The following is a 27,970-nucleotide window of genomic DNA, read 5'->3' on the forward strand; positions in this document are numbered from 1 at the left end:
AAGGTTTCCTTGTTTCCCTTCCACCCCAGGTTGGGTACCATCCTCTCTGCTCCCATAGGTCTTTCGGCTTCCATCTTACTGCATTGGCCACCCTGCATTAAAGTCTGTCTCATCTAAGACTGAGAGTTCTTAGAAGCCAGACACTGTGTTTGATACACTGCTATATATCCTTGCATGGGATGGGAGCTCAATAATATTTGCCAGATGATTGAACCGTATTCTCTCCAGGTGCCATCTTCTGAGGCCACACAGAACATGGCTGTTCTTTCTGCCCCAGGAGAACCTTTATGATAGCAATACAAAACCATGTACCTTTTTCCTATAGACCAAAGTCCCCAGTTTCTTTGCTGGTCCCAGAAGCCTCTCTGCCTGGTTGGCAGAAGAGGTCAGGTCAGGCCCCGGTACCCTCTATGCTCTGTAGGTGCGAAGTGGGGAAGAAGTGGTTGGAGAGAGAGGCCCACCTGCCTTTCCTAGGGAGAGTGCTGAATCCCACCTAGGGAGGTGGGATTCAGATCTTCTCTGTGCTGGTGGGAAAAGCTCATAAGCTGAGGGGGTGGGAGGAGGCTTGTCACTCCCTCCTCCCTTGACACTACTCTGTCCTGGCCCTTGCCTACCTCAAATAAGATAATGTGTATAAGAGGGCTTAACAACAACAACAATAACAACAACAGTAAATGCCCTATATAAATGTGTCGGCCTATTATGATTAACATTGACATTCATGCCCCTCCCCACCCCCGGTTCTGTCAGCACACTGATCTTCTAGTGATACGATTCCACTACAGTTCCCATGACTCAGCCCTTCCCTCTGAGAGCACTGGGCTGGGGAGCCAGTGAGGGGCCGCCTCTCCCAGCTGTGTGATCCAGGGCACTTGCTCTACTTCTCTGGTGATAATGACTGCTGCCCTACCTACCACCTACCACTAAGGGCTTTGTGAGGACTAATTAGATTAACAAGTTCAAAAATGATTGGAAAGAAGGATTAGACAGGTGTACAATGTTCTTTGTAATAACTTTTACATTCACTCTTGCTTTCCATATTTATTGCTAGTGGCTTTACCACCTTCATCCTCATTGTCACTATTTCAGCAGTCTGTTGACTATCTCAAATTAGAAGTTTTGGTTGAAACTTCTGATTATGGGAAATCCTTCCCATGATCAGAGACATGTCAATGTGGACTGATCCATTCTTTTCCGTTATGAGCTCCCCATCAAGGAAACATTGAGAGAGAGAGTGGCAGGATGACCACATATGAGCAGCCATGCACCTTCCCTGTGTCCACGCTCAGCTCCACTCTGTCCCCACCTGTGGTCTCTCCGATTACCCAGATCCTGCCCATTCTTCAAGGCCCAGTTCTCTCCTCCTCCAGTGATCAGTGCTCTCCCTTCTGGGCTCCTAGTGTCCTCCCTACTTACTCCTTTTCCTGGCCCTCAGCCTCAGGGTCCTGGCCTGCCACTTTCATATCTTGGTTTAGTCTTCACATCCAGTATGTATGGGGCTACTCAAGTCAGAGCCAATTCTCCTCTACTTTCCCAGAGGCTGAAGGTGAGAGAGAAGAGACTTGTTGAGAATGCTGCAGGAAGCACAGAAGAACTGGGAATAGAGCTCTGGTCTTCTGATATCTTGAGCTTTTTCTATAAACCACACCACTGAGCCCTGCTCAACATACGTATGTACACAGACATTCACACTTGCAGATATGCCCCCGCCCCCCTGCCCCTGTAATGAAAAATACTTACTGGGCACTTGTTATGTGCCATAGCCTGTGCTGACAACGGCCATGGATTTAACAATTTGGTGAAGACAGCAGGAGACATTATTATTTTTTCTAGTTTACAGATGATTTAACTGAGTCTAGCAGAAGAGCAAGGGGAAAGGTGACAGGCTAACATTTTTTGGGTATAATGCCTTTATATACAGTGTCTGAATTATTCATCAAACAAAGATTCTGAGAAAGTAGAGGCTCAGAAAACTAAAATAATTTACCCATGGTCATACAGCAGATAAATAGTAAAGCTGGGATTTAACATGGGGATTTATTATACTATTCTCTCTTTTGTACATGTTTGATATTTTACATAATAAAAAGTATTTTTTTAGGAAAGGAAGCCAGGTCTGATTTTCCACTACAAAATGCTACCTTCCAAAGGCCTGATGACTCAAAAAGAGAGAAAACTCATCTTTTTTCCTCTCTTCCAGTGTGCTCAGATGCTCCAAAGCTAAGATAGGGGCATTTCTAGAGGTAGATTTGGGATAGACAGCTTTGTAGAAAGGGGACAAGATGAGGCTCCCTTTCCTCCCATTCAGGGCTTCCCTGTCTGGGGGCCAGGGGAATGGTGACACACATTAAGTAACCTCTCAGAAGGTCATCCACAAGTCCCAACCCCCCAGTGGACATGCTCTGATATGATCCCTTGCCTTCAGGGAGGCAGATTTCTAACATTCAGGGAACAGAGAGAGTTTTAATGGAATGGATCCAGACATTCCCCATTCCACTGTATGGAATCAGACTTGTTCTTGCCCTTGAGCAGAACTCAGAGTAGTGAAAGACAGAGAGGGATAGAAATAATGTCATTATACTACAGGGGAGTGAGGAGATGAGGATGTCAGGGGAGTGAGATGAAGATGATGATTCTTCCCCCTACCCCCCTGGTACAAGGGAGCTAGGCATTGTGTAGCTGAGGAGGTGGGAAACCACAGCACCAGCTGGAGAAGAGCAGAAGATACTACACTGAGCACTAAACAAAAAAGGACTGGAGAAGTGGAGAAGCCTGGGGAAAGGAAATTAGAGCTCAAGGTCACAGAGACTATGAGTAGGAGAGTGGGAGCTAGAACCCACGCCTACTAGTCCAGGGCTCTTTCCACCTACACTGTCTCAGCCTCTGCCCACCCCATAGCTTTCACTTCCTTAGCACCCACTGGAAGGACTGGCCTATACTGGGCTACCACTGTTCTCTTCTGTGGTGCCAAACTCATCTTTGCCCATCACTCAGACTTTATGTTCTGCAGACTCGGGTTCATCTTCCCTGCCCTGAAGCTCTTCCAGGCCACTCAAGCCTACAGATCACTTCTTCCTTTGAACCGCTAGAGTTATTACCTGATCACAGACTTTCACACATAGGTCTTGTCTCCACAATCAGATGTATGACCAAGAATGCTTTGTGAATGGCTAGAAAAGGAATGATGATGATCACTAGGCATCAGGATGGGTTCGCAGAAGCCAAGTCATGCCAGACTAACCTCTCCTTTCTTTATCAGGATGACCTATTTGCTCAATCAGGTACAATTAGGCCAAATGTGGACTTCATGAGACATCTGATGGGATGTCTCAGGATAATCCTGTGGTCACAATGGAGAAATGTGGGCTGGATGCCAGTACCACATGGAATGCTAGTAAATGACTGATGGACTAACCAGACCCAAGGAGGTGGGTCACTGATGGATCAGAGGTCTGGAAGGAGTTTCCACTGGCAGCAAACACTTGGTCCTTGTTCAGCATGTTTATCTATGACATGGATATCACAGGGACATCTTCCTCATCAAATCTGCAGATGTAATTAAGGTGGGAAGGGTACCAAATACACCAGATGGAAGATTGACATTAAGAGCTAAAGCAAATATGATGCAAGTTAGTGGAAATAAATAGGAAGTCATAGGTTTGGAAGAGAAAGTGAGGATTGTTCTGGGAAATGTGATTGAGAAAGGAAAGGGTTTAGAGGGCACCTGAGAAAAATAGTTTAAGGAAGTAGAGGGTTTAGGCTGGACATTTTCAGATATTTCAAGGGCCATCATGTTAAATTGGGATTAGATTCATTCTACATGAATCCAAGGGTAATATTAAAACCCTGAGAAGCAGATTTTGGCTAAATTTCTAACCATGGGAACATCCGAAAATAGAATATGAGCAGCCTCAAGAGCAACTGAGTTCTCCAGCACTGAAAGTGTTCAAGCATTAAATGGACAACCGCTTAGGAGGTTTCCTACTTATATACTGGTTTACAGATTTTTTTTCAAGATTAATTGTTATCCATTCAAAGATATTTTTTTGAGTCTTCTATGTGTTTGGCACCATGGTAAGTGCTAGGGATACAAAAGTGAGTAAGAAGATACTGTTCTTGCTTTTCAGGAGTTCCTGATCCAGTTGAGGGGAGATGGACAAGTTTATTTCAGTAGTATCTTGTGCTTTGATTACAGACCTCAGCACATGGAAGGCTGGCTTTAGTTTAGATTAAGTCAGAGTTCCTGTGGAAATTCAAAAATGCGTTTGGTTACTAAAGGCCAGTAACAGTTTAATCAAGGCCAAATCACTTGCTTAAACTTACTACTGGCTGTGAGAATGTAAGTGTACAGTGAAACAGAATTTGTGCATTTTTGTGCATGACATTTTGCTCTTATACCTTGAGTTTTGGTCTTTGGCTGGGACTTGTTTATGAACCTACAGATTGTCTTACAAGTGGCTGTGGTGTCAGGGTGAAATGATTTAGCCAGCAGGGCTACCCAAGTCTCCATTTCTTACCCACCCTATGGGGACTGCTTCAACACAGACATAAACATGCTCCTGCCGTTACCTTATTGCACTCGTCACACGGGGAGGCTAGAAGGCTTGATTCAGGGATATGATTGGATTTTAAATCCCAGTCTCACAGGATTTTAATTACTGGTTTGGGGCAGCAGAGATAGGCGCTGGCTGCCTTTGGATGGAGGAGGTCGATACACCAGTCCACGACATATTGAGCCACAATGCCTGCAGACTCTATTGCTCTATTTAATCATCTTTTGCAAAATTTACAGTGGAACAGGAGGGATCGATACGGAATTTATCACATTCTCTTGTAAATATGAGCCAGGAAAGAGTTCCAGGCAGTTTGTTACTGAGTGGGAGGGAACATGTCTGTGTACAGCTGGGCATTAGGAGATGAGACAAAATCCATACTTCTTGGCATAAGCTACAGACATTCAGCCAGTCCCTCTTACGCCTGAAGGCAAGTTCAATGGGTAGAATGCTGATTCATTCATTCATTCAACCAAGCAACCAACCAACATTCTAGATTACCTATTTTATGCCAGACCCTACAGAGGACAGGGTGGACCCTAGAGAGCTCTGGGAACATACACTGGAATTCTGCTTATGAGATCCTAATCATAGCTATAATAACACAATGGCTCTGCCACTTAGTGGTGAACCTTGGTTGTTACTGAACTGCTTGGTGCCCTTGTTTATGCATATGGAAATGTAGATAATAAGAGTCCCTAACTTGCAGAGTTATTATTATTATTTTTTGAGCTGGAGTCTCGCTCTGTCGTCCACGCTGGAGTGCAGTGGCACGATCTCGGCTCACTGCAAGCTCCATCTCCTGGGTTCACGCCATTCTCCTGCCTCAGCCTGGCACCACGCCCGGCTAATTTTTTGTATCTTTAGTAGAGATGGGGTTTCACTGTGTTAGCCAGGATGGTCATCTCCTGACCTCGTGATCCGCCCACCTCTGCTTCCCAAAGTGCTGGGATTACAGGCGTGAGCCACCGCGCCTGGCAAGTTATTTTAAGTATTAAAAGAGAGAAAAGCCTTAGTCCAGAGCTTTTATCAAAAAATGGTAACTGTTGTTATTTTTCCTTCAATTACTATTACTAACCATTCCTTCCTACAGTGGATAGGGTGTTGAACAGGGAGCCGGCTACCCTACCTCCTTAATAGACAGAAGGGAGACTGGATGGCCTTCCCAGGTTAGAGATCTGGTCAGGGCCACCAGCAGCAGAATCAGAGGAGCAAGAGGAAGAGGGTGTGTAAGGAGGAGATTCATGTTAAGCTCTGTTTTTTGAAGCTTCAATTGCAATCTTTAAAACAATAAAATAGTCTCCTAAAATTGCTGTGGGGGAACAGAGTGAGAAGTGATTCACTTCATGTAGGCCAACCATGGAAAGTTATACATTAAAGATATAAATGAGTTGGATCTTGAAGGCTAAGTAGGAGTTTGATAGGTGGAGAAGTGGGGAAAGGATATTCCAGGCAAAGTGAATGAGGACAGGTTTGGAGGCAGGAAAAACTATGCTAGGTAGTGAACAGTTCAGTGGGCCATAGGCAGAGACAGTTCCTGTCTCCCAGGCCTACTTGGCTGCAGGCATCCTCCTGGTAGGCCCACAGGATGATCCCAATCCTGAAGCAAACCATCATCCTCATCCTCTCTTGGAAACTGGTGGCAGAAGTCACTTTAGAGTGACTGCATGCTGGGTTAAACATCTGGGCTTAATTTATAGGCAGTGGGAACTGCTGAAGGTTTTAAAGCAGGAAAGTGACATGGTTTTGTGAGATGGAGGCTGGTTTGATGGGATCCTAGAGGTAGGAAGAACAAGGCTGTTATAATAGTCCAGGTGAGAGTGATGAAGCCTGAATTAGAGAAGTGGGGACAGAGGAGAGAATGGGCTTAAGATGAAATTCTAAGAAAGACAGGGCTTGGTGGAAAGTGAGGGAGAAGTCATCAGACATAACACTTCCTAGTTTGAGCGACCAGTAGACAACCATACTATTCATCAAAGAGAACATGGAAGAAAGTGTGAGGAGGTATGGATTTGGACGCATTGAGGATGAGAGATGTCTACGGAATATTAAGCATCAACAAAGCTATGGAAGACATGAAAATGCCTGGTTTGTTCTACGGAAAATAGGTAGATCAGTGTGGTTAGAAAGAGGTGGTATAAAAACCATGGAAATGAATATTCAAACATAACAGAGTTAGACAAGGAAAACAGCAAAAGCAAAAACTCCTGCCAAGGATCTCTGGTCAATGCAAAGCTAACGTAGAGGTTTTCTAACGGTGGATAATGCTCTGAATAGCATGTGACACAGGCAAAGAAGTGAGGATCCTTAGCTCATTTTCATTTTGGACAAGTCCCAAAATGAAAATGTTCACGACTTTCCTGGAAGTCGTGGGCTTTCAAGAGGCCAGCCCTACTCCTCCTTATCCCCACAGTATAGCACAGACTCTCCTCAGAGGTGGCAGCAGGTTCTATGGCCAGAGAGCAGCTAGGAGCAACTGTCAGTGGGGAGGGAAAGGCTCTGGATAAAGCAGAGTTCAAAGTGCACTATCAGAGCCAGGGTCCTCAGGCCTCTGCAGTCTTCCCTCCTGCAAATGACAGCTGAGACCAAAGCATCCGAGCCTGGGGTCTGGGCTGAATTTAGCAGTCATAATTACACTGTTAACGTCTGGGGCACAGCCACAGTCTCCGTAGAAGGCGGCAGCTTTTGTTCATGCACTAAAAACACATCATCTTCAAACATGCTAATCCTACGTCTGCTTCCATCTAACAACATTGAAAGGAGGCTGAGGAAAGGGCACACAATGCCCACACATCTGGCTAATTCAGTTATGAGGCCAATCAATCTTGATGGGTTGTCTACGAGACCCCAACCACCCCAAAGGACTGAGCTGACCAGATGTTTAAGCTTCTGTTGACCAATCCTAGCCTAATGTGCAGGGCAGAGAAGAGGGGTTATCAAGAGATGACTTTTGCTTCCACTTACACATCTATTCCCAAAGCCAAGTAGAGCCCTCTGCTTGGATGAAAAGTATCAGCACATTAAAGTAGTGGTTGAGCCAAGCTCACTGGAATGAGGTACACTCAAATATACAGACTTTCAGTCTGAACTCAAGGAAGATAGGAAGCCTTATTTATGGCTGCCTTTGTGAACACTCACAGCAACAGAAACCAATGAAATATTTTTTGCTAATTGCACTTCCCTATATGGAGAGAATCGGAAATGTGGGGGTGGGGGAGGTAGTATCTTCAACTATAATATCAAATGTTATAGGCTACGGTTCTGGGAACAGGAACTGTTTTATCTGCTGATACCTGCTTTCATTCAAGGCTGAAGGAATTACTCATCTCCCTCATAAAACATTTGCTTTTTAAAAAAACCAGAAGCTTCTGCCAACAAGGACTCTTCCAGTTTATGCACCTTCTTTTATGCCCAACCACAGTCACCAGGCAACCATCACCAAAAATAAAAGTGGAAAGGTGGTGGGAGGCTAGGAGGAAGGGGAGAGGACAGGGATAGACTACAAACACCAGGAGGACCACTTTGACCCAGAGCTCCTTGCTGTTGCTAGTGATTCCATTTTTTTCAAGATGCTTTTCCCTCATTAATTCTGAGGATTTCACCAAGTTTGTCCCAGAATTGAGGATGCATGACAAAACAGATGAATGGTCCTGGGTAAAAGAAACTTCCAACTTATTAGAAAGTAGTGAGAGAGAAGCAAAGATTAAAAATGAGATCTTTATTGTGATACCCTGTGCCCAGAACAGTAATTGGCACTCAGTAGGAGTTTAAAAAATACCTGCTGACTGAATAATTATGGCCCCATTATGACACAGCTGAGCTGTGCTCCTTCCATTTCTGTTTGTCAGGAGAGGCCTCCTATGGTCATGGGCAATACTGCTCGACAAAACCACTGCCCACAGATCAGGAGAGTCTTCCTTCAGCCTGAATAAGCACAGATGAAGTTGTGCTGAGAGGTAGGGCTATGAATGTCATTACCACATCCAGCAACCTCTTTTTCCTCCTCTCCATGGGTGCAGTAATCTATACTGCTGACCAATCTTGCCTCCTTTTAATTCTTTTCTACCTTAAAAAAACATATTTTTTTGAGGCAGGGTCTCACTTTGTCACCCAGGCTGGAGTGCAGTGGCGCAATCTCAGCTTATTGCAACCTCCACCTCCCGGACTCAAGCAATCCTCCCCACTCAGCCTCCTGAGTAGATGGGACCACAGGCACATCACCACACCCAGCTAATTTTTGTATTTTTTTTTTTGTAGAGACAGGGTTTTGCCATGTTGTCTAGGCTGGTCTCAAACTCCCGGGCTCAAGCCATTTGTCCACCTCAGCCTCCCAAAGTGGTGGGATTGCAGGGGTAAGAGCCACCATGCCTGGCCTTCTTTTCTACCTTGATTTCCATGATATGCAATATCCATGACTTTCTCTCCTTTGCAGTTCATTCTTCTTTTCCAAGTTATTGAGTGTCACCGAAGCCCGAGTCCTCAGCCCTTATTCCTTTCTCTCTCTAGGCATTCTCCTTTAAAAAACAGCTCCGATTTGTTTAAACTGCCCTAGTGGTTCTCACTCCTGGCTATATATTAGAATCACATGGGAAGTGTTAAAACCATATCAATCCAAAGTAGGATAAAATATTTCTATATATCACAGATAAAGGGCTAATATTCTTAACATAAACAGAAATTTTAAAAATCAAGAGAAAAACAAGACCAAAAGTCCTATAGAAAAGTGGGCAAAAGACACAAATAGACAATTCACAAAAGGAGATATAAAATGACCGCCAAACATATGAATTGATGTTCAAGTTCACTTATAATAAGATAATCAAACTAAAATTACAATGAGATACTATGTCTCACCTTCATATTGGCAAAAATCCAAAAGCTTGACAATACACTCTGTTGGAGAGGCTACAAGGAAACAGACCCTCTCATACGATGCTAATGGAAGTGTAACATGGTACAACTCGTACGGAGGAGAAGCTTGGTAATATCTAACCAGAGGACGTATGCATTTACCCCCTGACCCAGCAATACCACTTCTAAGACTTTACTGTAAAGGCATACCTCCAACAAGACCAAAATATATATGCATAAGGTTATTCATTGTAGCATTATTTGTAACTGCAAAATATTGGAAATCTCAAGGTCCAAGTATAGAATACATGGAATATACATACAATGAAGTATTATGCAGCTATTAAAAATGAGGAATATCTCTATGAATTTACATGAAGTGATTTTCAAGAAATATTGTTAAGTTAAAAAAGCAAACTGCAAAGCGACATATACAGTATGCTACCTTTTGTGTAGGCAGAAAAGTGAAATAAGAGAACATACAAATATTTGCTTATACAAAGAAACACAGGGAGGATAAACCAGAAAACAACAAAGCTAATTATTTACAAGGGGTCAGGACTCACTGAGAGGGACAGAAGCAGGTTGAAAGGGATACAGGAGGGAGGTTTACTTCTCTGAGTATACCTTTTGGTACCTTTGACTTTTAGAAATGAGATAGTGCTCTACATATTCAAACAATAAAATTAAATCAATCAGGATACGTAGGGGAGAAAAATCCTAAAACTGAGAGCAAATTGAAAAATTAACCCAACTGTATTTCAAATGAAGAGCATAAACACACTGAAGGGGGAGAAAAGAACCCTAGTAACTTAGGAACCCAGTATTTGACTATATACTCTCAGCCTTGGATAGACTAGGGGTGAGAACTGCAAACAAATCCTGACCTGAACTTTTAAGGAGATTTGTTTTCTACAGTGGCATGGGTAAAGCAGTTCTGAAGCTTTTTAAGATGTATTATAGGATTGAGCAAATGAGTAAATAAATAAATGTATCAACGTTATTTGCAGCTACCATTGTCACTAAGGAAGAAGGACATATTAATATGAAATGTGTGAAGACACGAAAGAACCCGTCAGGATTAACTAGAATGTGGGGCAGATGAGGGGGCAGGCAGTATTGGTGTTCTCAGGATTACTAACAAATGTAGGTGCATAAGAATAGCTCGTGCTTACAGTCCCAGCTACACGGGAGGCTGAGGTGAGAGGATCACTTGAGGCCAGGAGTTTGAGAGCAGCCTGGACAACATAGCTAGATGCTGTTTCTTAAAAGCAAATATCATCCTTAGTGCATTCACGTTATAAACAAAAAAGTAAACAATATAGAATATCTGTGTGCATATGTATATACATGTATGTGTATATTTTAATGGATATGTATATATATGTGTATATACCTATATAAATAGTTCTTGGCTCTATCAACAGAAGGAGCAATGAGTACACTTGGTACTCAGATTTCACACTCTAGTACAATTATCAACAAAAAAATCCGAGGGCTCCTCAAGAAATAGCTGATTTCAGGGCAACAGCAAGGTAGATACGAGATGAGCCTGAGACATTTCATTATGTAGAAAAATAAGAAAATGCTATATGTTAAAAAAAAAAAAGATGGAGATATGCCACACTGGCCAAATATGAGGCAATGATAGCCCCAACATAACTAAGCCTATAATAAATTTTACAACATTAAAATGGTAAGTACCCACCGAGCGTGGTGGCTCACACCTGTAATCCCAGCACTTTGGGAGGTTGAGATGGGTGGATCACCTGAGGTCAGCAGTTCAAGATCAGTCTGGCCAACATGGTGAAACCCCGTCTCTGATAAAAATACAAAAAAATTTAGCCGGGCTTGGTGGTGGGCACCTGTAATCCCAGCTACTCAGGAGGCTAAGGCAGGGGAATCGCTTGAACCCGGGAGACGGAGGTTGCGATGAGCCGAGATCACGACATTGCACTCCAGCCTGGGTGACGAGAGCAAAATTCCATCTCAAAAATTAAAAAAAAAAAAAAAAAAAAAAGGTAAGTACCCATGAACACATTTTGACAGTATTAGAAAATAGAGGGAAAGGGGTTCTTGCTTAGAGAGAATGCCAAGTGCTAACTGGTCAATGTGGAGTACGTGCTGGAGTTAGAAAACATGGAAAATATTCATTCGGCAAGCATCACATAAAGATTGGTTCAGGCAAAAACCAGCGATGGGTGCTAATTCTAGGGTAAAATTTTGATGAGGAGCAGGATATTTTTGTGGTCTTAAAAGTATCTCCTCACAGCCTGGGCAACACAGCAAGACTCTGTCTCTACAAAATTATTTTTTTAACAACTCAGCTAGGCAAGGTGGCTCATAACTCCAGCTACTTGGGACCCTGAGGTGGGAGGATCACTTGAGCCCAGGAATTAGAGATTGGAGTGTGCTATAATTGTGCCACTGCACTCCAGCCTGGGTGGTAGAACAAGACTCTATCTCAAAAACCAAAAGCTATCTCTTCATAGAGTGCTAACTAATGTCAAGGGAAAAGATAGTAACAATACAGTGGAGAAACTGGACAATTCTTTGATTGGAGATGGGGTGAGAGTAGACTTTTCTCTGAAAATTCTTGTGAATTTTGTACTATGTACAAGTATTAACTATTCAAAAACAGGATTAAAAATAAAGCATTTATAAAATATCTCCGAGAGTGTGATACACAGAATAACCCCCCACCCTCACCCAAGATGTCCATGTTCTAACCCTGGAACCTGTGAATATGTTAGGGGAATATGAAGGTTGCAGATAGAATTGATGTTGCTAATTAGTTGACTTTGAGATTACTCTGGACTATCTGAGTGGGCCCAATATAATCACAAAGGTTTCTAGAAGTAAAAGAGGAAGGTAGAAGAGCCAGTGTCAGAATGAGGAAACGTGAAAAAGATTCAACCGGTCATTGCTGGCTTTGAGGATGGATGGCAACTGCATGGAGACATAGAATGTGGGCAGCCACTAGAAGCTGGGAAAGACAGGAAAGATTCTCTCCTGGAGTCTCCAGAAAGGAAGACAGTTCTGTCAACACCGTTTTCAGTCCAGTGAAACCCATTTCAGACTTCTTCCCTCCAGAACTATAAGATAAATTTGTGTTGTTTTAAGCCACTAAGTTTGTGATAACTTGTTACAGCAGCAATAGGGATGATACATAAGAAGAGTTAGGTGGTTGCCTCTGAGGAGGACCAGGGATGTGGAAGGGAGACTTCCTTTCCACTGCATGTCTTCTGGTACTACTCCAAATTTTTATCTTGTGCAACTTTTAAAGTAAAAATCACAATGGTCACTAAACAAACACATAAACAACAGACAGTCACTTCAGGAGCTCTCTATGGACTACAAAAATAAGTACAAGTCCTCTGTCTCTTCCCCAAGATCCTCCACACCCATCTCCCTACCCCTTTATCCAGCAGGTGGCCAGCTTCTACCAGGACTCTAAATAATACACAGTATTTCTGGCTCCTGGCTCCTGTGGACAGCTCCTGTTGCTGCCTCACCTGAAAAGCTTCCTTCCTTCTCTCTCTTTGTTTGAATTTTACCTGTCCTTCTAGGTCTGGCTCTGGTCTCACCTCCTCCATTAAGCCTTCTATAATGCCACACTGGTCTCTCCCCTCCTCATTCCCCATGACAGCTGTTAATTCTGGCCCTTGCTTATGTTTAATTGAAAGTCCTGTTATCTACTGTCCTGCACTGTTCTCAGTGTGCTTTGCATATGGGCATTTTCACCAAACTATCACTGTACAGGGTGTAGTCTCAAGGAAGTGCCTGTATCTTTTTCTCTTATTTCTTGGCATGCCTAGTACCCATTAATTCAACAAATGTTGGCTAGGCACCTATCATATGCTAAGGACAGTGCAAGGTGCTGGGAACACAGTACCTCAGATCCACATCCTATCTTCTGTGAACTCACTGTTAAGTGAAGGAGAGATATATTAATCAAATAACTATAGAACTACATGTTATGGTAAAAGTGATAAATCATACAGGATGCTTTAAGAACATGTATCAGAGGAACTGAGAATAGGGATGATGGTGGTTAGTTGTAAGAAAATAATTAATAGTTGCTGAATAAATAAATACTTAAGACAGATCAGTGAGCAAGTATTCAGAATCACAAAATATTACAGTGAAAGGAAGTCTGAGATTATAGTCCAATTATATTATTTTACGGATAAGGAAATTGAAGCTCAGTACGGGGGAAGGGCTTGCTTGACAGCAAGGCAGAGTTAGTGCCAGAACCATGTGCCAGGTCCCTTGACCCCTAGTCAGCACTTTACCACACAGGCTTCTATTACTTCAAAGGGGTCCCTGAAGGATTTCTCAAGTGGCAAGCTCCTTTTTTCTGCTACATTTAAAAAATACTCATTTCCAAAATGCAGTTCAGGAAGGAGTCTGTGGTCCAAACCTATAGAGAACATCCCTGCTGTGTTCTTCCTTGGATACTGCCTGGCTTCTGTATCTTAGGAAGACAGCACATGAATGCTAGAAGCAAACTCCTTTTGGGAAGGGACACTTGAATGCTAGGAGCAAACTCCTTTTGGGAAGGGACACTTGGTTCTGGTCATCCCCAGTCTCAGCCTTGGAAGGGGCTTTTGCTGCTACTTTACAGGCCCTGACTTTCAGATTGACATTCTCCTTTCTTAAAGCTGCAGTGTGGTCCTTTATCTGTGCATTCTGCCCAACAGCAAAAGCTGCAGTGTGGTCCTTTATCTGTGCATTCTGCCCAACAGCACATACGCTGGAGGGGGCATGAGTGGGCTGGCAAAGGGCAGCTAGAAAATCTGATTCTGACTCAGCGCTGTTTCCAGGCTCAGTGCAGGTGGAGGAGAGTGTAGGACACGGAACAGACCTGGCCCAGCCGATGCTGACCTCTCCCTCACCCAAGGGAGCCTTGGCCTCCAGCTGCCACTACTGGCGGTGATGAGGTCATGCCGGATACCGGCCAGGCTCATCTGAGGACTGCTTGGAGCCGATTAAAGCCTTGATGAAATGCGGGGGCCTGGATGGCAAGTGGCTCTGGAGAGCATGGGCTCTGGTGACCAGGCTCATCTCCAGCTCAACTATGCAGTGGCTCCTCGATGTCCACAGGAGCCAGGATACAGAAATACTTTTCCCTGCGGTGAGCAAGGACAGTTCCTCATTCTATACTGGGTAAAGGGCTGAGGGTAGGACTTAGGTCACTGAGGGCCCCTTCAAGGCCTGGTCTTCCACATGGGCTGCAGATACAATACCACAGAACTCCTCCACTCCCCAAAATTGGACTAGACTGCTGGATCCCTTTGGATGACTAATGGACATCCCTCTCCACAGGATTTTCTCAAGCTAAATGACAGGCTAACATCCACATTTTGAGTCTCAGTGTAAATGCCATATGCTCAGGGAAGACTTCCTCCATTCCCCTTCGGACTAGATTAGGTCCCATTATGCTCTTATAGTACCCTCTATTCTTCCTTAATAATACTTTTATTATTAGCTAGCAATTTAGCTAATAATTAGCTGGTAATTTTGTAATTATTTGCCTAACATCTATATTCTACCAGACTTTAAGCTTTACAAGGATGCAATACATATTTGTTAAAATAATAACAGGAAATCAATAAAAAGGAAGGGAAGAGAGAGGTTTACAAATTTTTTAATGATATTCTTTAAAAGGAAACTGTTTTATACAACAGAGGGGCTCATCTCCTCTACCACACTAGCTGTGGGGTTGATCTGGTCCTCCTGGCTTTCCAGCCTGCTTTCAGGCAATCAGTCAGACATCCAAGACAAGATTTTCTGGTTTTGAGAGGCATGGAGGATTTTTTTCTTTTCTTTTTTAATAGCTTTACTGAGATGTAATTTACATACCATAAAGTTCACCCATTTAAAGTACACAATTTAGAGGAGGTTTCTCGTATACTTAGAGAGTTGTGCAACCATCACCATAATCTAATTTTAGAATATTTTCATCATCTCCAGAAGAAACCTTGTACCCATTAGCAATCTCTCCCCATCCCTCCCCCAGATAACTGCTAACATGGAGGGACTTTAACATTTGAATCCAAACAAGAAGAAGAAACCTTTAGTATTCAATCACCTGACACAAGTTCTTCATTTTATAGAGGAAAAAAGTGATGTTAGAGAAGGGCCATGATTTTATAGAGGAAAAAAGTGATGTTAGAGAAGGGCCATGTTAGAGAAGGGTGAGATGTGGCAGAACTGGGGTGGATCACAGTCCCTGATGTCTACATCATAATGGCAGTGCTGTGACCTCTTTGCCACACAGTGTGACTATATTTGTCCCAGAATGTCTATACCACTGGACTTTAAGCTAGTTGAGGGCAGAGGCTCTATTTTGCTCATTTGTCTCCCCTTTCTGCCTGGGAGTACCAGCAAAGCAGTCATGTTTTAAATGTGGTCTGTGTACTGGTGCCAGACGGTGAACTTTGCCACCAGCTTTTGATGGGATAAATACAAACAGTAAGTGTCTGGAAACTTTTATAGCAACTAGTCAGAGTAATTTTATGTCTATAGAAATTAGTGGCACATTTGGGGCTATATTTTGCATGCCTTTAAAAATATAATTTTTCTTTTTCTTTTTGAATCGGAGTTTTGATCTTCTCGCCCAGGCTGGAGTGCAATGGCATGATCTTGGCTCACTGCAACCTCCACCTCTCAGGTTCAAGTGATTCTCCTGCCTCAGCCTCCCAAGTAGCTGGGATTACAGGCACCTGCCACCATGCCTGGCTAATTTTTGTATTTTTAGTAGAGACAGGGTTTCACCATGTTGGCCAGGCTGGTCTTGAACTCCTGACCTCAGGGATCCACCCACCTCAGCCTCCCAAAGTGCTGGGATTACAGGCAAGAGCCACCGCACCCAGCCTCCCCTCATTTTTTTTTAAAACCTGTTTCAAGTGTAACATATAAAGAAAAGCACAAAAAGTACATAAGGATACAACTCAATTTTCACAAAACGGACACACCCACATAACCAGCATCTACATAAATAACATTACAGCATCCCAGAGATCCCCTCACGGCCTCTCCCAGTCACTACCCACACTCTCGAGGTTAAGCACTACCCTGACTTCTTATGCCACTGATTAGTTTTCTCTATTTTGGAATTTAAATGCAGGCATACAGTAAGCACTCTTCTGTTTGGCTTGTGACCTGATGTAAGGTTTGTGTTGTAGCACACAGCAAGAGTTGACTCAAGCCCATTGTACATTATTCCATTGTGTGACCATCCCACAATTTATTCATCCATTCAGCTACTGATAAACATTTTAACTATCTTTCACATTATACATAAAGCCTATCCTAGTCCTCCTCTAAATCTTAATGATTTTCCATTGCAGGATAAGTCCAGTCTCCTCAGCACAGCTTACATTAGTGACCTTCAATATTAGCTCCTGCTTTCCATTCTTGCCCTCTGATACCCTCCAGCTCTTCTGAACTACCTGCAATATTCTGAGTAAAGTATGCTGCTTCATACTCCATGCCTTTGAACACGTTGCTCCCTCCGCCTTCCTACCTCATCTACCTGGTACACTTGCATTCATCCTTCAAGAGTTGGTGTGAACACCATCTCCTACATCATGCTTTCCCTGCCCTCTTCAAGATTTAAAAGGTCTTTTCTTTGTGATCTCACAGCACCTTCTACAGATCTCCATTAATACACCAGATAGCAATTCTTGGTTAAAATGTCTGGTTTTCTCATAGAACTGTGAGTTACTTAAGTGCAAAAATCATGTCTGGATCATCTTTATTTCCTTGGTGCCTAGGGCAGGGCTTGTGGCAGCAGAGATGATCAGTAAGAATCTGGTAAGTGAAAGAATGCTGGAGCTGGAAGGGGTCCTTGGGATCTGCTATCCTAACTTCTTTATTTTACTGAGGAGGAGAGAGGATATGCCTAAAGGTGAAAGGATTTGTTGGTGGCAGAGCCAGAACATCTGATCCTTCACCCAGTGCTCATTCCCCTTCTCTGTACTGCTGGCGTGAATCAGAGTGTGGAGCTTCAACAGAGGACAGACAGCCTGAGGCACAGCTGATTCTCTCCACATCAGGCAGTGCCGCCAGATGGACAGACGGTGAAGTGTAACAAGAAGCGAACTCTTAAGTTTTGGGTCCTGACAACAAGCCAAGAGGCTGTTAAAGGGGATGGCACCACTGGAAAGGATCTTTGCCTCAGGCAGGGATGGTGGGGAATTTAAGGACTCATTTGATGATGGCTAGTTAACACTGATAACTCAGTGCAGACTTGGAGATGGGGCAAGGAGGATTCACTAAAGTAGGTGGGAAGGAGGCTGAGAGAGGCCCCAGGGAAAGTATTAAGTTTCGTTAAAGCCCAAGTGTTTCTGAAGTGAGAGCACCAGTGACTGAAAAGGAAGTGGCATTATGACTGTAAGGAGAAGGAAGGTAGCCAGGCAGAGGTGGCTCATAAGTGAAGCTCTAAAAAGTCAGACACATTAGGAAATTAAGAGTCGGGGAAGGGGATCAGCAAAGAGTAGACCAAAAAGTAAAGACACCACATCTCCCAAAAGAAAACCTACAGTGGTTTTGGAGATTTATCAGTGCATCCAATTCAAAAACATACTAAATCATGTGCAGAGCATTGCAGCAAAGGAGATGGAGACAAAAAAAGACACAGGCCTGGCCTTCATCCACCTTGGTCTAGTAAGTGAGACTGGACCCAAATCCAGAGAACAGGAAAGACTTCAGAAGGAAGGTGGCATGAGGCTGGTGACTGACTGGTAAAAGGAACTCCACCAGCATGCAAAATGGTCTTAAAGGGGACAGAGAGGCCGAACAAACTGCGAGAATAAAGGCACCAAGGTGGGAACACAGTGTAGCTGGAGTATTAGGGCTCCAGTAGGGGAAAAGGTAGGTGAGGGTCAGACTAGAACAACTCTAAAACCAGTTAAAAGCATTAGTATGGTTAGAATTTTTTTTTAAACGAGTGAGCACTGAGTGTTTCTGAAGTTAATAATAACAGAGACTATATATAAAGTACCTACTCTGGAGAAGTACATATGTCCTAATCCTTACAAATCCTTAGGAGGTAGGTGGCGCCACCCCCATTTCCAGATGAGGAGAAAGAACTTCAGAACAGTCAGTAATTTGCCCTGGATCACATAGCTATTAAATGGCAGGGCTGGTACCAAGATCCTGACTCCAATATTCATGCTCTTCCCTTGCAACCTCTCTTAGCTGGGGGTTCTCCTTTGAAGCACATACAAAAAAAAATTGACTAGTGATTTTCTCAATGCTTCCAAAGATGTGTGTGTGTGTATATATATATATATATATATAGCTAGTACCATTTTAGATTCCTGGGAGAGAAGTTAATTCCTGTGTACGATGGATGCCTTGGAGAATGAGGGCTCAATTCTCTGGAGGAACCTTGGTCAAGAAAAACGGCCATGATTAGAGATATGTTTTAGGAAGATGGATCTGCCGGTGGGATCACATCCCTGAGAGGACCTGGTTGCCAAAGCAACTTAACAGTCCTGGAAATATCAAGATGAGTCATCTTCAGGCACTTGAAGTATGAGGCTCCAGCCACCTTCCCTGATCACTCCTCTTTCTAGTCCTACTGCCTCTTCCCCACCTTCCTCCCTCCCTCCCACCACACCTGCATTCAAGTGCTGAAGCAGAGCCTTCCTGCTGATAAGCCATCAACACAGGCAAAAGCAGCATCTTCCAAGGTAAAAAACATGAGGGTCTCTGTACTTTTCTGTGGCGGTTGGGAGTAGAAGACTGGCACTAGTTAATTCAAAACCCTTCTGGAGAACTCTGGCAAACTCCCATCATCCTTCCTGATAAGGCCTAAGCACCCCCTCCTCTGGGAAGCCTTCTGTAACTGATTCTACCTCTCTGATCACCAGGCAGAAGACATCATTTCCCCCTGTTCGTCCCCAGAGCCCCTTGTCCAGGCGCCTGCCAGAGCACCTACCCCATTATCATGGTCTGTTTCCACATCTATCTCCTCTGACAGTGTGAGAGCCTCTCAGGGTCAGTGACAGTTTGCCTGATCTGTCTTAGGATTCCCTGAGGCCCATGGTCTCAGAGATGGCAAGTGGCTTGCCCAGGGTCACTTGACAAGGCTGAGATTTAAACCCAGGTCTGACTTCAAAGCTTGTTTCTTTTTCACTATGCTACAGGGTCTCCCGAAAATGAGACGACGTTAAGCAGTCTGTGCTAAGCTGTACAATGCTGTACAAGTTTGGAGGAGGAAGTATCGGAGTAGACCAGACGACGAAGAAAGGCTTCTTAAGAGAGAGAGGCCTTGAAGAGTCTGAGGATTCAGATAAGAAAACAGGGAACATGATGGCACTTTAGGCAGGATGGGAATATCGTAGGTAAAGACAGAATTAAGAGGCCTTAAGGTAGGAGTAAAGGTTCTATATTGGGGAGGAATGGAATTACAGCTGCCAGAATGAGAGTTTGATTTCTTTATACATGTCACAATGATAAGTACTTATAACAGGGAACCTACCATGTGCCTGCCAGGGGCTTTCATAAAAAATACCACCAATCCTCATGCTATCCTTGTGAAACAGGTGTTATTTTAGATGTACGAAAACTGAGGCTTAGAGAATTAAGGAAACATGCCCAAGGCAACACAGCTAATAGGTGGGTAAACTGGGATTCAAACCTAGGTTGGCCTGATTCTGAAGCCTGAGGTTCCCTTTCTATTACTCCATGCCACCTCCTAATGGGCCAGAGAGCTTTCCACATTATCAGCCTGATGCTTCTGTCTGAATCTCCTCCCAGCTCAAATGGGGACTTTTGGTCAGACAGCAAGAGCAGCTGACTTTTCTAGCTCTAACCCTCTAAGGTCTGGGGACCCTAAATCCCTGAGGACTAAGTAATTTCAAGGAAACTGTTCTGTGTGGGCCCTGTGAGCACAGGCTGGCCTCTGTATTTAGGCCTGCTTTGGATCTCACAGAATCTCCCTTTAGTTACTGCAGCAAAGCTGGTGGCAAGTACAGCCTAAGAAAACCGGATGGGGCTGGGCGCGGTAGCTCATGCCTGTAATCCCAGCACTTTGGGAGGCCGAGGCGGGCGGATCACCTGAGATCGGGAGTTTGAGACTAGCCTGACCAACATGGAGAAACCCTACCTCTACTAAAAAAAATACAAATTTAGCTGGGTGTGGTGGCACACGCCTGTGATCCTAGCTACTTGGGAGGCTGAAGGTAGGAGAATCGCTTGAAGGCGGAGGTTGTGGCAAGCCGAGATCGCGCCATTGCACTCCAGCCTGGGCAATAAGAGCGAAAATCTGTCTCAATTAAAAAAAAAAAAAAAAGCCAGCCAGATGGGCAGGAAGGTAGGCTCCCTTGCCTTTCCTGAAACCCTTTGGAGAGGGTCAGCTGAGGTCAAAAGACTCTGGAAATATTACTGGCAACAGCCCCTAGAATGATAGAGCAGGATCCTGCCTCTCGGTTGGCTGGTCACACACACAGGCAGACCAAGGGAGGTCAAGGGGGAAGGGAGGTCAGAAGTTGGCAGCCTGCAGGCCCTGAGTGACGGCAACTTGTTCAGGGTTGGGAGGGAGAAATAGTGGGTTAATGGTTTTGGCCCTTGAGGCTGGGAGGCTAGGGCAAGGGGTGTAAATGTATGCTGGCTAAAAAGGCAGGTGGGAGAAATGTAAAGGTGGGGGCTAAGGGCATCTGTTCCAAGTCAACAGGCAGGAACCATGCCCCTGGAACGGCTCAAAGGGCCAGCCTTGGCCTGGGGGTGAGGATAGAGGGAGTTTCATAAAAGGCCCTCGTCTTTTCATTTCAAAGGTGTTCGATCTAGAAGGCTAGGAAGAGGGGCTCCTTATAAAGTGAATTCTCTTGTCTGGGGGTTGGGGGAAGCAGAGAATGTAAACTACTGGACAATAGCTGGGAGTATTGATTGATTTTAAGGCACGGCAGAGATAATGTCCTTGGTGAACACTCCAATTCTTAGCTACAAATGTCTTGCCACAGAGTTTTCCAACGGACAAAGGAAGAAGCTTTCTGCTTGGGGATGTTTTCTAAGTCTCTGCTTCTGAGAACAGCAAGTTCTCGCTCCAGAAGCATCAGTCATCCCAAGAACTGCTGCCACATCCACAAGTAGTCCTGCCCTTCAGTGGCTGTGCCCTAGAACAAAGCATATTCTGGCTGCTCTGGGGCAGGTCCCTTGTAGGCTTGGGGATACAGGCCAGGCCTGGGTTTTAAGCTAGCATGGCTGTGGCTGACAGAAAGTGGCAAGATTACGTGCGTGTTCCTGGGAAGTTCCCAGAGGCCAATGAGAAGATGATCTGGGGATGCTGGGCCTGTGGAGGCAAAGGCTCTGGGACTGAAAGAACTTTCTTTGAAGACTGGTATTTGGAAAAGTGACTAGGTAGCAAAAGACAGTTGGCATAAGTTATAGAGAAGACCACAGCTCATTAAAAAGATGTTTCAACCATGCCGGGCGCAGTGGCCCAGCACTTAGGGAGGCTGAGGCGGGTGGATCACCTGAGGTTGAGAGTTCGAGACCAGCCTGACCAACATGGAGAAACCCTGTCTCTACTAAAAATACAATATTAGCCAGATGTGGTGGAACATGCCTGTAATCCCAGCTACTCGGGAGGCTGAGGTAGGAGAATTGCTTGAACCCGGGAGGCAGAGGTCACGGTAAGCCAAGATTGTGCCATTGCACTCCAGCCTGGGCAACAAAAGCAAAACTCCGTGTCCCAGAAAAAAAAAAAAAAAAAAAAAAAAAGGTTTCAACCAGTCTCCCTGGGGAAGAAGGAGGTTCCTTCTGTCTCTGAAAAATGTCAGCTAGCCAGCTGTTGGAGAGGGTTCTGCTGGAAGAGAGGCAGGCAATCATCAGAGTGGCCCAGAGACCTTTGAGGACCTTTCCAGTGCTCAGGTTCTATGAAGAATGATCCCAACAAGGAAGACCCTGGGGTCTAGCCCCAAGAGAGGATCCCTGGCCCTCAAAAAGCACCAGAGGAGGCATGAACAGGCAGTCATGTGCCATGTACTCACTCAGGGGTCTGTGCTCCACACATCCTGGCCAGATGCTTCCCACACTCTCCCAAGGAGAGGCAGGAGTGGGATATGGGGAAGTGGGAAAGAAAGTGACTGGGATGTGTCTGGCAGGTAGCACTACCAGACTTGGACAGGACTTGCCCAGCCTGAGTCTGGGGATGGCATGTTTTGTCTCTCCAATTAACTGATGTTCTCCAAAGGGAGGGTATTCATTATTCATTGATTTATTGAGTGCTTACTAAGTGCCAAGTACTATAGTAGATGCTGGGGACACTTGAACCAGTCAGCCATGGTTCTTGCCTTTTAGAAGCTCAGAGACAAGTTAGGGAGAAGGCTATTGAACAAATAAAAACAATTTCAGGTTGTGACAAGTGTAATGACGGAAAAGAATAGGGTGCCATGACCCAGAGTAATGAAAGGGGCCTGAGACGGGGGTGGGACCAAAGAGGATGTCTTTGTGACCTGGGTTAGGAGGGATTTAAAGAGCCTGTGTCCTTTGTTTCATTAGCTCTGCTTTGGAGGTCACGGGGGAGAAGAGAGAACACTTTTAGGGATAGCAAGAGTCCAGAAAACTCTCACAGCATACACAGACAGGCAGGATGACATGGTGTATCACACCACATATAGGCAGAGAACACACATCAGCCACAGGAGGGCAAACCACATGTGTGCACTGCCACTGTCAGCAGGCAAAGCTGCTCTCGAGGCATCTCTAGCTCTAGGAGGATAACAGGGCTCTGGGGAAGTATGTTATTTCCAGAATAGTGAGGCTGCCAAGTACTCTCTCCCCCTGCCAAGCCCCATCCCACCCCTCCTCCACCCCCCCCACCCCACCCCTCTTCCACTTCCCCCACCCCACCCCTCCTCCACCTCTGCTCTCACCTCCATCAAGCAGCTCCTTGACAGTGCGGTAGTCATCAGCAAGAACAGCATAGTGCAAGGCCGTGCAGCCCTTGAAACTGGCGCGGTTGTTCAGCCTGTTGTTGAAGTCATCCTCTCGGGTGATCAGGACTGGGGAGACAGCAACACAAACCCTTCCATTAGCAACGACAGCATGAGCCACCAATCTCACCTGTTTTCTAGTGGCATTTTAATTCACTCACTCATCTACCTACTTACTAAGCATAAAATGGCACCTACTATGTTCCTGGCCATCTGTGCTGGGTAAGAAGAGGCAAAACAGAGGCCAGTTAGTTCCACAATGTTTACTGACATCTGTTATGTGTTAGGATTCATCCTGGGGACATGAAATAGATCAGATAAGGTCCCTGACCTAACTGACAAGGGAGGCAGACAATAACCAGATGTTTATAGAACTGTTTGAGATAAATGCTCTGTTAGAGGTATAATAGGAGAATATACCAGAACGCCAGAAGAGAGTTTAGCTCAACTTGGGCATGAAGAGAGGATCCCAGAAGACAGGAGTCTTAAAGGATGAAGAGAAGTTATGCAGGTAAAGAAAGCAGGTTGGGGTAGGATAAGGAAAGAGTGGGGCAGGAGACAGAGGCTGTTTTAGCAGATTAATATACCTCTCTGCTCTGAAAATGTTTACATTCTAGTAAGTAAGTGGTTTTAATTTTTTAAAGCTTAAAAAATTTATAAAAGCAATTAAATTTTTAAAATCACAGAAAAGTACAACAAAGAAAAGGAACCAATATCTCAGTGACTTGAGAAACTATGTGTCAGATTTTGATATATGTTCTTCCAAATTTCATGTGTGTGTGTATCCCCTATAAAATTGGAATTTACTGTAAATGCAATTTTGTAATCTGCATTTTTACCCTTATTACCTGTAAACATTTTTTGAAAGAAGAACAAGCATTTCATGTGGTCAAAGAACCAAAATCCCCCAGGCTCACTCTAGTGCTAATATTTGTGATTTTCTCACTCTGATTTGATATAAAATAACATAAAACCAGTCCATCATTTTTCCAGGACTCTCTGGGTTGGGTGACTCCACACACCCTGTTTACCCAGGGTGGTCCTGGTTTTCTTCTGCTGTTATAGACAGTTCCAGTTTGGACAATAAATTAGAATGTTACCCCACCTCTGGGGCCCTCCCTTGGGAAATGAGACCCCTCAGAGCACTCTCTCCCCTGCTCAGGCAATGGAGCTTCTTTCTAGCCCCCATGTGAAAGTTATCCAGGCAACTGTCTTACATTCCCTCCTGAGCTGAGTTTGTAGGGGTAGAATTTGGGTCCTGACTACCTATACTCCTCCCTGAGTCCACAGCACAGGATCTGCAGAGGACAGGTTCCTCTTACCTCTCACTGGATAAAGGGGTACACTCAGTCAAGAGGCGATCTTACCTATGTAGTCAAAAGCACCAGACAATTCCTAAACCATTCTTTTTCAAGTGGTCTTGGAATGGAGTCTATGCAATACTAAATGTCCTATATAAAGTTCCAAAAGCCAGAAGACTGCCATGCCTCTTCCAAATACTAATAGATTTTTTTTTTTTGGAAATGGAGTTTTGATCTGTCACCCAGGCTGGAGGGCAGTGGCGCGATCTGGCTCAATGCAGCCTCTACCTCGGTTCAAGCGTTTCTCTGCCTTAGCCTCCCGAGTAGCTGGGATTACAGGTGCCCGCCACCACAGCCGGCTAATTTTTGTATTTTTAGTAGAGATGGGGTTTCACCATGTTGGCCAGGCTGGTCTCAAACTCCCGACCTCAGGTGATCCACCCGCCTCAGCCTCCCAAAGTGCTGGGATTACAGGCGTGAGCCACCGCGCCCAGCCATACTAATAGATTTCACTTACTGACCTTCTATACTATGCCTGACATGGTCACTTCACACAATCTTACTTAATTCTCATAATTACCTTACATAGTAGGTAATTATTATTCCCATTTTATAGATGAGGAAACTGAGGCTCAGAGGTCACATAGCTAATAAGTGATTGTCCCCACTGTTTCTCACATATCATAATGTCACCCTCAATTTCCAAATGAGGAAATCAGACACCAAGAAAGAAGTAGAGCCCAGATGTCCTGGTCCCAGCCTTGGCTCTTATTCCATCCTGTTTTCCTGTTTGGGTGAAGGTGCAAACTCACTCTCTGCAGAATTTGCCCTTAACAGAAAATGGCCTGAGGTTTGTAGCTAGCACTCAGATAACCTAATGTGGATGGAAGCATTTCAAATGTTTGGCCAAAATAAAGTTGGTGGAGTGTGCAGCTGGAGAACAGACAACAGTTTCTTAGTTTCTTGTGGTTTATAGAATCAATGGTCAATGAGCCTTCTACTCCTGACATGGCCTCTCCAGACTGATGAACCCCCTGCTCCTGCCCCAGGAGTGTTATCTGACCTTTCCTGGAGCAGGAAGAACAGGAAGTTAAAAGGCCTCTAACATACAAGTCCCATGTGCAATGGCATCTACACTTTTCCCATAAGAGAGCCGTTTAGGACCTCAATCAGAGATTACTAGCCCTTAGTTACAGTCTTATCAAATCATGCTAGGTGATCTTATTTCCAGCCCACTGCAGATTAGGAGAAGGAAATAAGAAGGCCAGGGAGGATGCTACAGAACCAAGCAGATTGATTACAATCAAGCACTGGCCAGGCAGGCAGGGAAAAGAACAGGACAATGAAAAGCTGAAAAAGGAATTCAGAGTACAGCACCTCAAAAGCCCCTAAGGGCATCACTGAACTGCCACATAGGACATTAACTGCTGGATATAATGATGAACCTGACGAAAAGTGATAGTTGGCTCAAGAAAGCAGGAAAGGTGTAATCCATTTTACAAAGAAAACACATCATTCATTCAACATTTAATGAGCACCAATGCATGGTGGTAGTTCCTGGAGATATAATAATAAATAAGACACAGTTCCTGACTTTCAGAAGCTAACATCCTAATGCAAGAATCAGACCACTGAGCAGACAAATGATAATACAATTTCACATGTGCAATGACAGAGCTATACACAGGGTACTTACCATAAACAGCAGATGAACTCAAGGAACACAGCTGGGGCTATTTTGGCACAAACGTCAGGAGAGTGCTGGTGTCATAGCCCAACTAATAAGGAATGTCCAGAGGAGGCCCACTGCTCACCTCAGTCTCATCTCTCATCATCACCTTTCTAATGCTCTTTCTTGCCTCTGAGCTTTTGTAAATACTATTCGACTGCCTGGAACATCTTCCCCTCTCCCATGCCTTTAGTTGGCTAACTCCAATACAGCGCTAGGCCTCTGATTAGAAGTCACTTTCTCCAGTGATTCCTCCTACGTTTGAGGTAGTTATTGTTCCTAAGAGCTCCTCTAGCACCTTAGGCATCTCCCAATTCTAGTATTTATTACATTCTATCGTAAGCACTTGCTTACTTGACTACAATTCCCCACTAGACAAAAAACTCAATGAATACAGGAAGTGTGACTACCTTCTCCATTGCCCAGCAGTGTATGGCCATAAGTATGTGCTTGACAAATACTTGTTGAATCAACAAATAAACACATCAAACATAAACAAGGTCCTAATATTATCTTTGGTTTTGGAATAATAAAAATAAAAGTAATACCAGTCAACAGTATTTGGTGGGGCCCTGGAGTCAGACCACTTATGTTTGAATCCCAGCTCTGAACTTACTGACTGTGTAATCTTGGGCAATTTACCTAACCTCTCTGTGCCAGGCTCCTTTATCTATATGTGGAGGTAATAACAGTAACGCCTTCATGGGATGTTGTAAGGATTAAATGAGACACTATGAATAAAGGGGCTGGGTACAGTGCCTAGCATATAGTAGCTCTCAATAAATGTTAGTCATTATCTCATCATGGGCTTCCAAAAGTGTATTTTCTCTGTGAAAAAAGGCTTCACTTGAGGAATCCTGCATATACTTTCCTCTCAGAAAGGCACAGTGAGGTGGGCAAAGTGAGGTGGGGGCAGTGGCTCACGCCTGTAATCCCAGCACTTTAGGAGGCCGAGGCGGGCAGATCGCTTGAGCTCAGAAGTGTAAGACCAGCGTGGGCAACATGGCGAAACACCAACTCTACAAAAAATACAAAAATTAGCTGGGCGTGGTGGCGCATGCCTGTAGTCCCAGCTACTCGGGAGGCTGAGGTGGGAGGATCACTTGAGCCAGGAAGGCAGAGGTTGCAGTGAGCCGAGATCACGCCACTGCACTCCAGCCTGGGTGACAGAGCCAGACCCTGTCTCAAAAAAAAAAGAGAAAGTAAAAGAAGGAAGGAAGGGAAGGGAAGGGAGGGGAGGGGACGGAGGGAAGGAGGGAGGGCACAGTGAGCATAAGAATAGAGTTCTGAGTTAAGAGTCATCTGTTTCACTGGGTGTCACTCAGCAGTTTCTTGTTTGACAGCTGAACCCTCGTTAAAATCCTGCAGTGGTCTCTAGATAACAAAAGCTTTATTTACTGTTCACTTCTGCAGGTGAAGACAACCCTAGCTTTGAGTCCCTCTCGGCCTCTACTGGCCACTCCCAGAAGCCGGTGCCATCTAATGTTATGGAATGTCTAGCAGTGCCCTTGCCTTTAAAGATGTGAACATGTTTCCATGAGAGGGAACCTCTATGACTAATAAGACAAATAAAAGAATAACCCCTTA

At 44.5% G+C, this 27,970-nt stretch overlaps 1 protein-coding gene and 1 long non-coding RNA gene across 10 annotated transcripts in view; one reads left to right on the plus strand and one right to left on the minus strand.

Moving 5' to 3' along the window:
* CLPB (ClpB family mitochondrial disaggregase) overlaps nucleotides 1–27,970 on the minus strand; it is a 149,037-nt gene that overhangs the window by 50,092 nt on the left and 70,975 nt on the right. For all 8 annotated transcript variants that reach the window (NM_001258393.3, XM_005274320.2, NM_001258392.3 and 5 more), the window contains one exon: nucleotides 23,294–23,422. In NM_001258393.3, the coding sequence (NP_001245322.1) occupies nucleotides 23,294–23,422 (129 nt within the window). The remainder of the gene's footprint in view (nucleotides 1–23,293; nucleotides 23,423–27,970) is intronic.
* Nucleotides 15,793–27,869, plus strand: LOC112268077 (uncharacterized). Of its 2 annotated transcripts, none has more exons than XR_002957257.2 (3): nucleotides 15,793–15,881; nucleotides 17,186–17,225; nucleotides 19,565–22,398. It is a non-coding gene; the product is annotated as an uncharacterized LOC112268077 (long non-coding RNA). The 2 variants fall into 2 exon arrangements; XR_007062768.1 differs by lacking the exons at nucleotides 15,793–15,881; nucleotides 17,186–17,225 and adding exons at nucleotides 18,930–19,108; nucleotides 27,797–27,869 and having other exon boundaries at nucleotides 19,565–19,789.

Source organism: Homo sapiens, chromosome 11 (genome assembly GCF_000001405.40).
Source record: "Homo sapiens chromosome 11, GRCh38.p14 Primary Assembly".
NCBI classification, from domain to species: domain Eukaryota; kingdom Metazoa; phylum Chordata; class Mammalia; order Primates; family Hominidae; genus Homo; species Homo sapiens.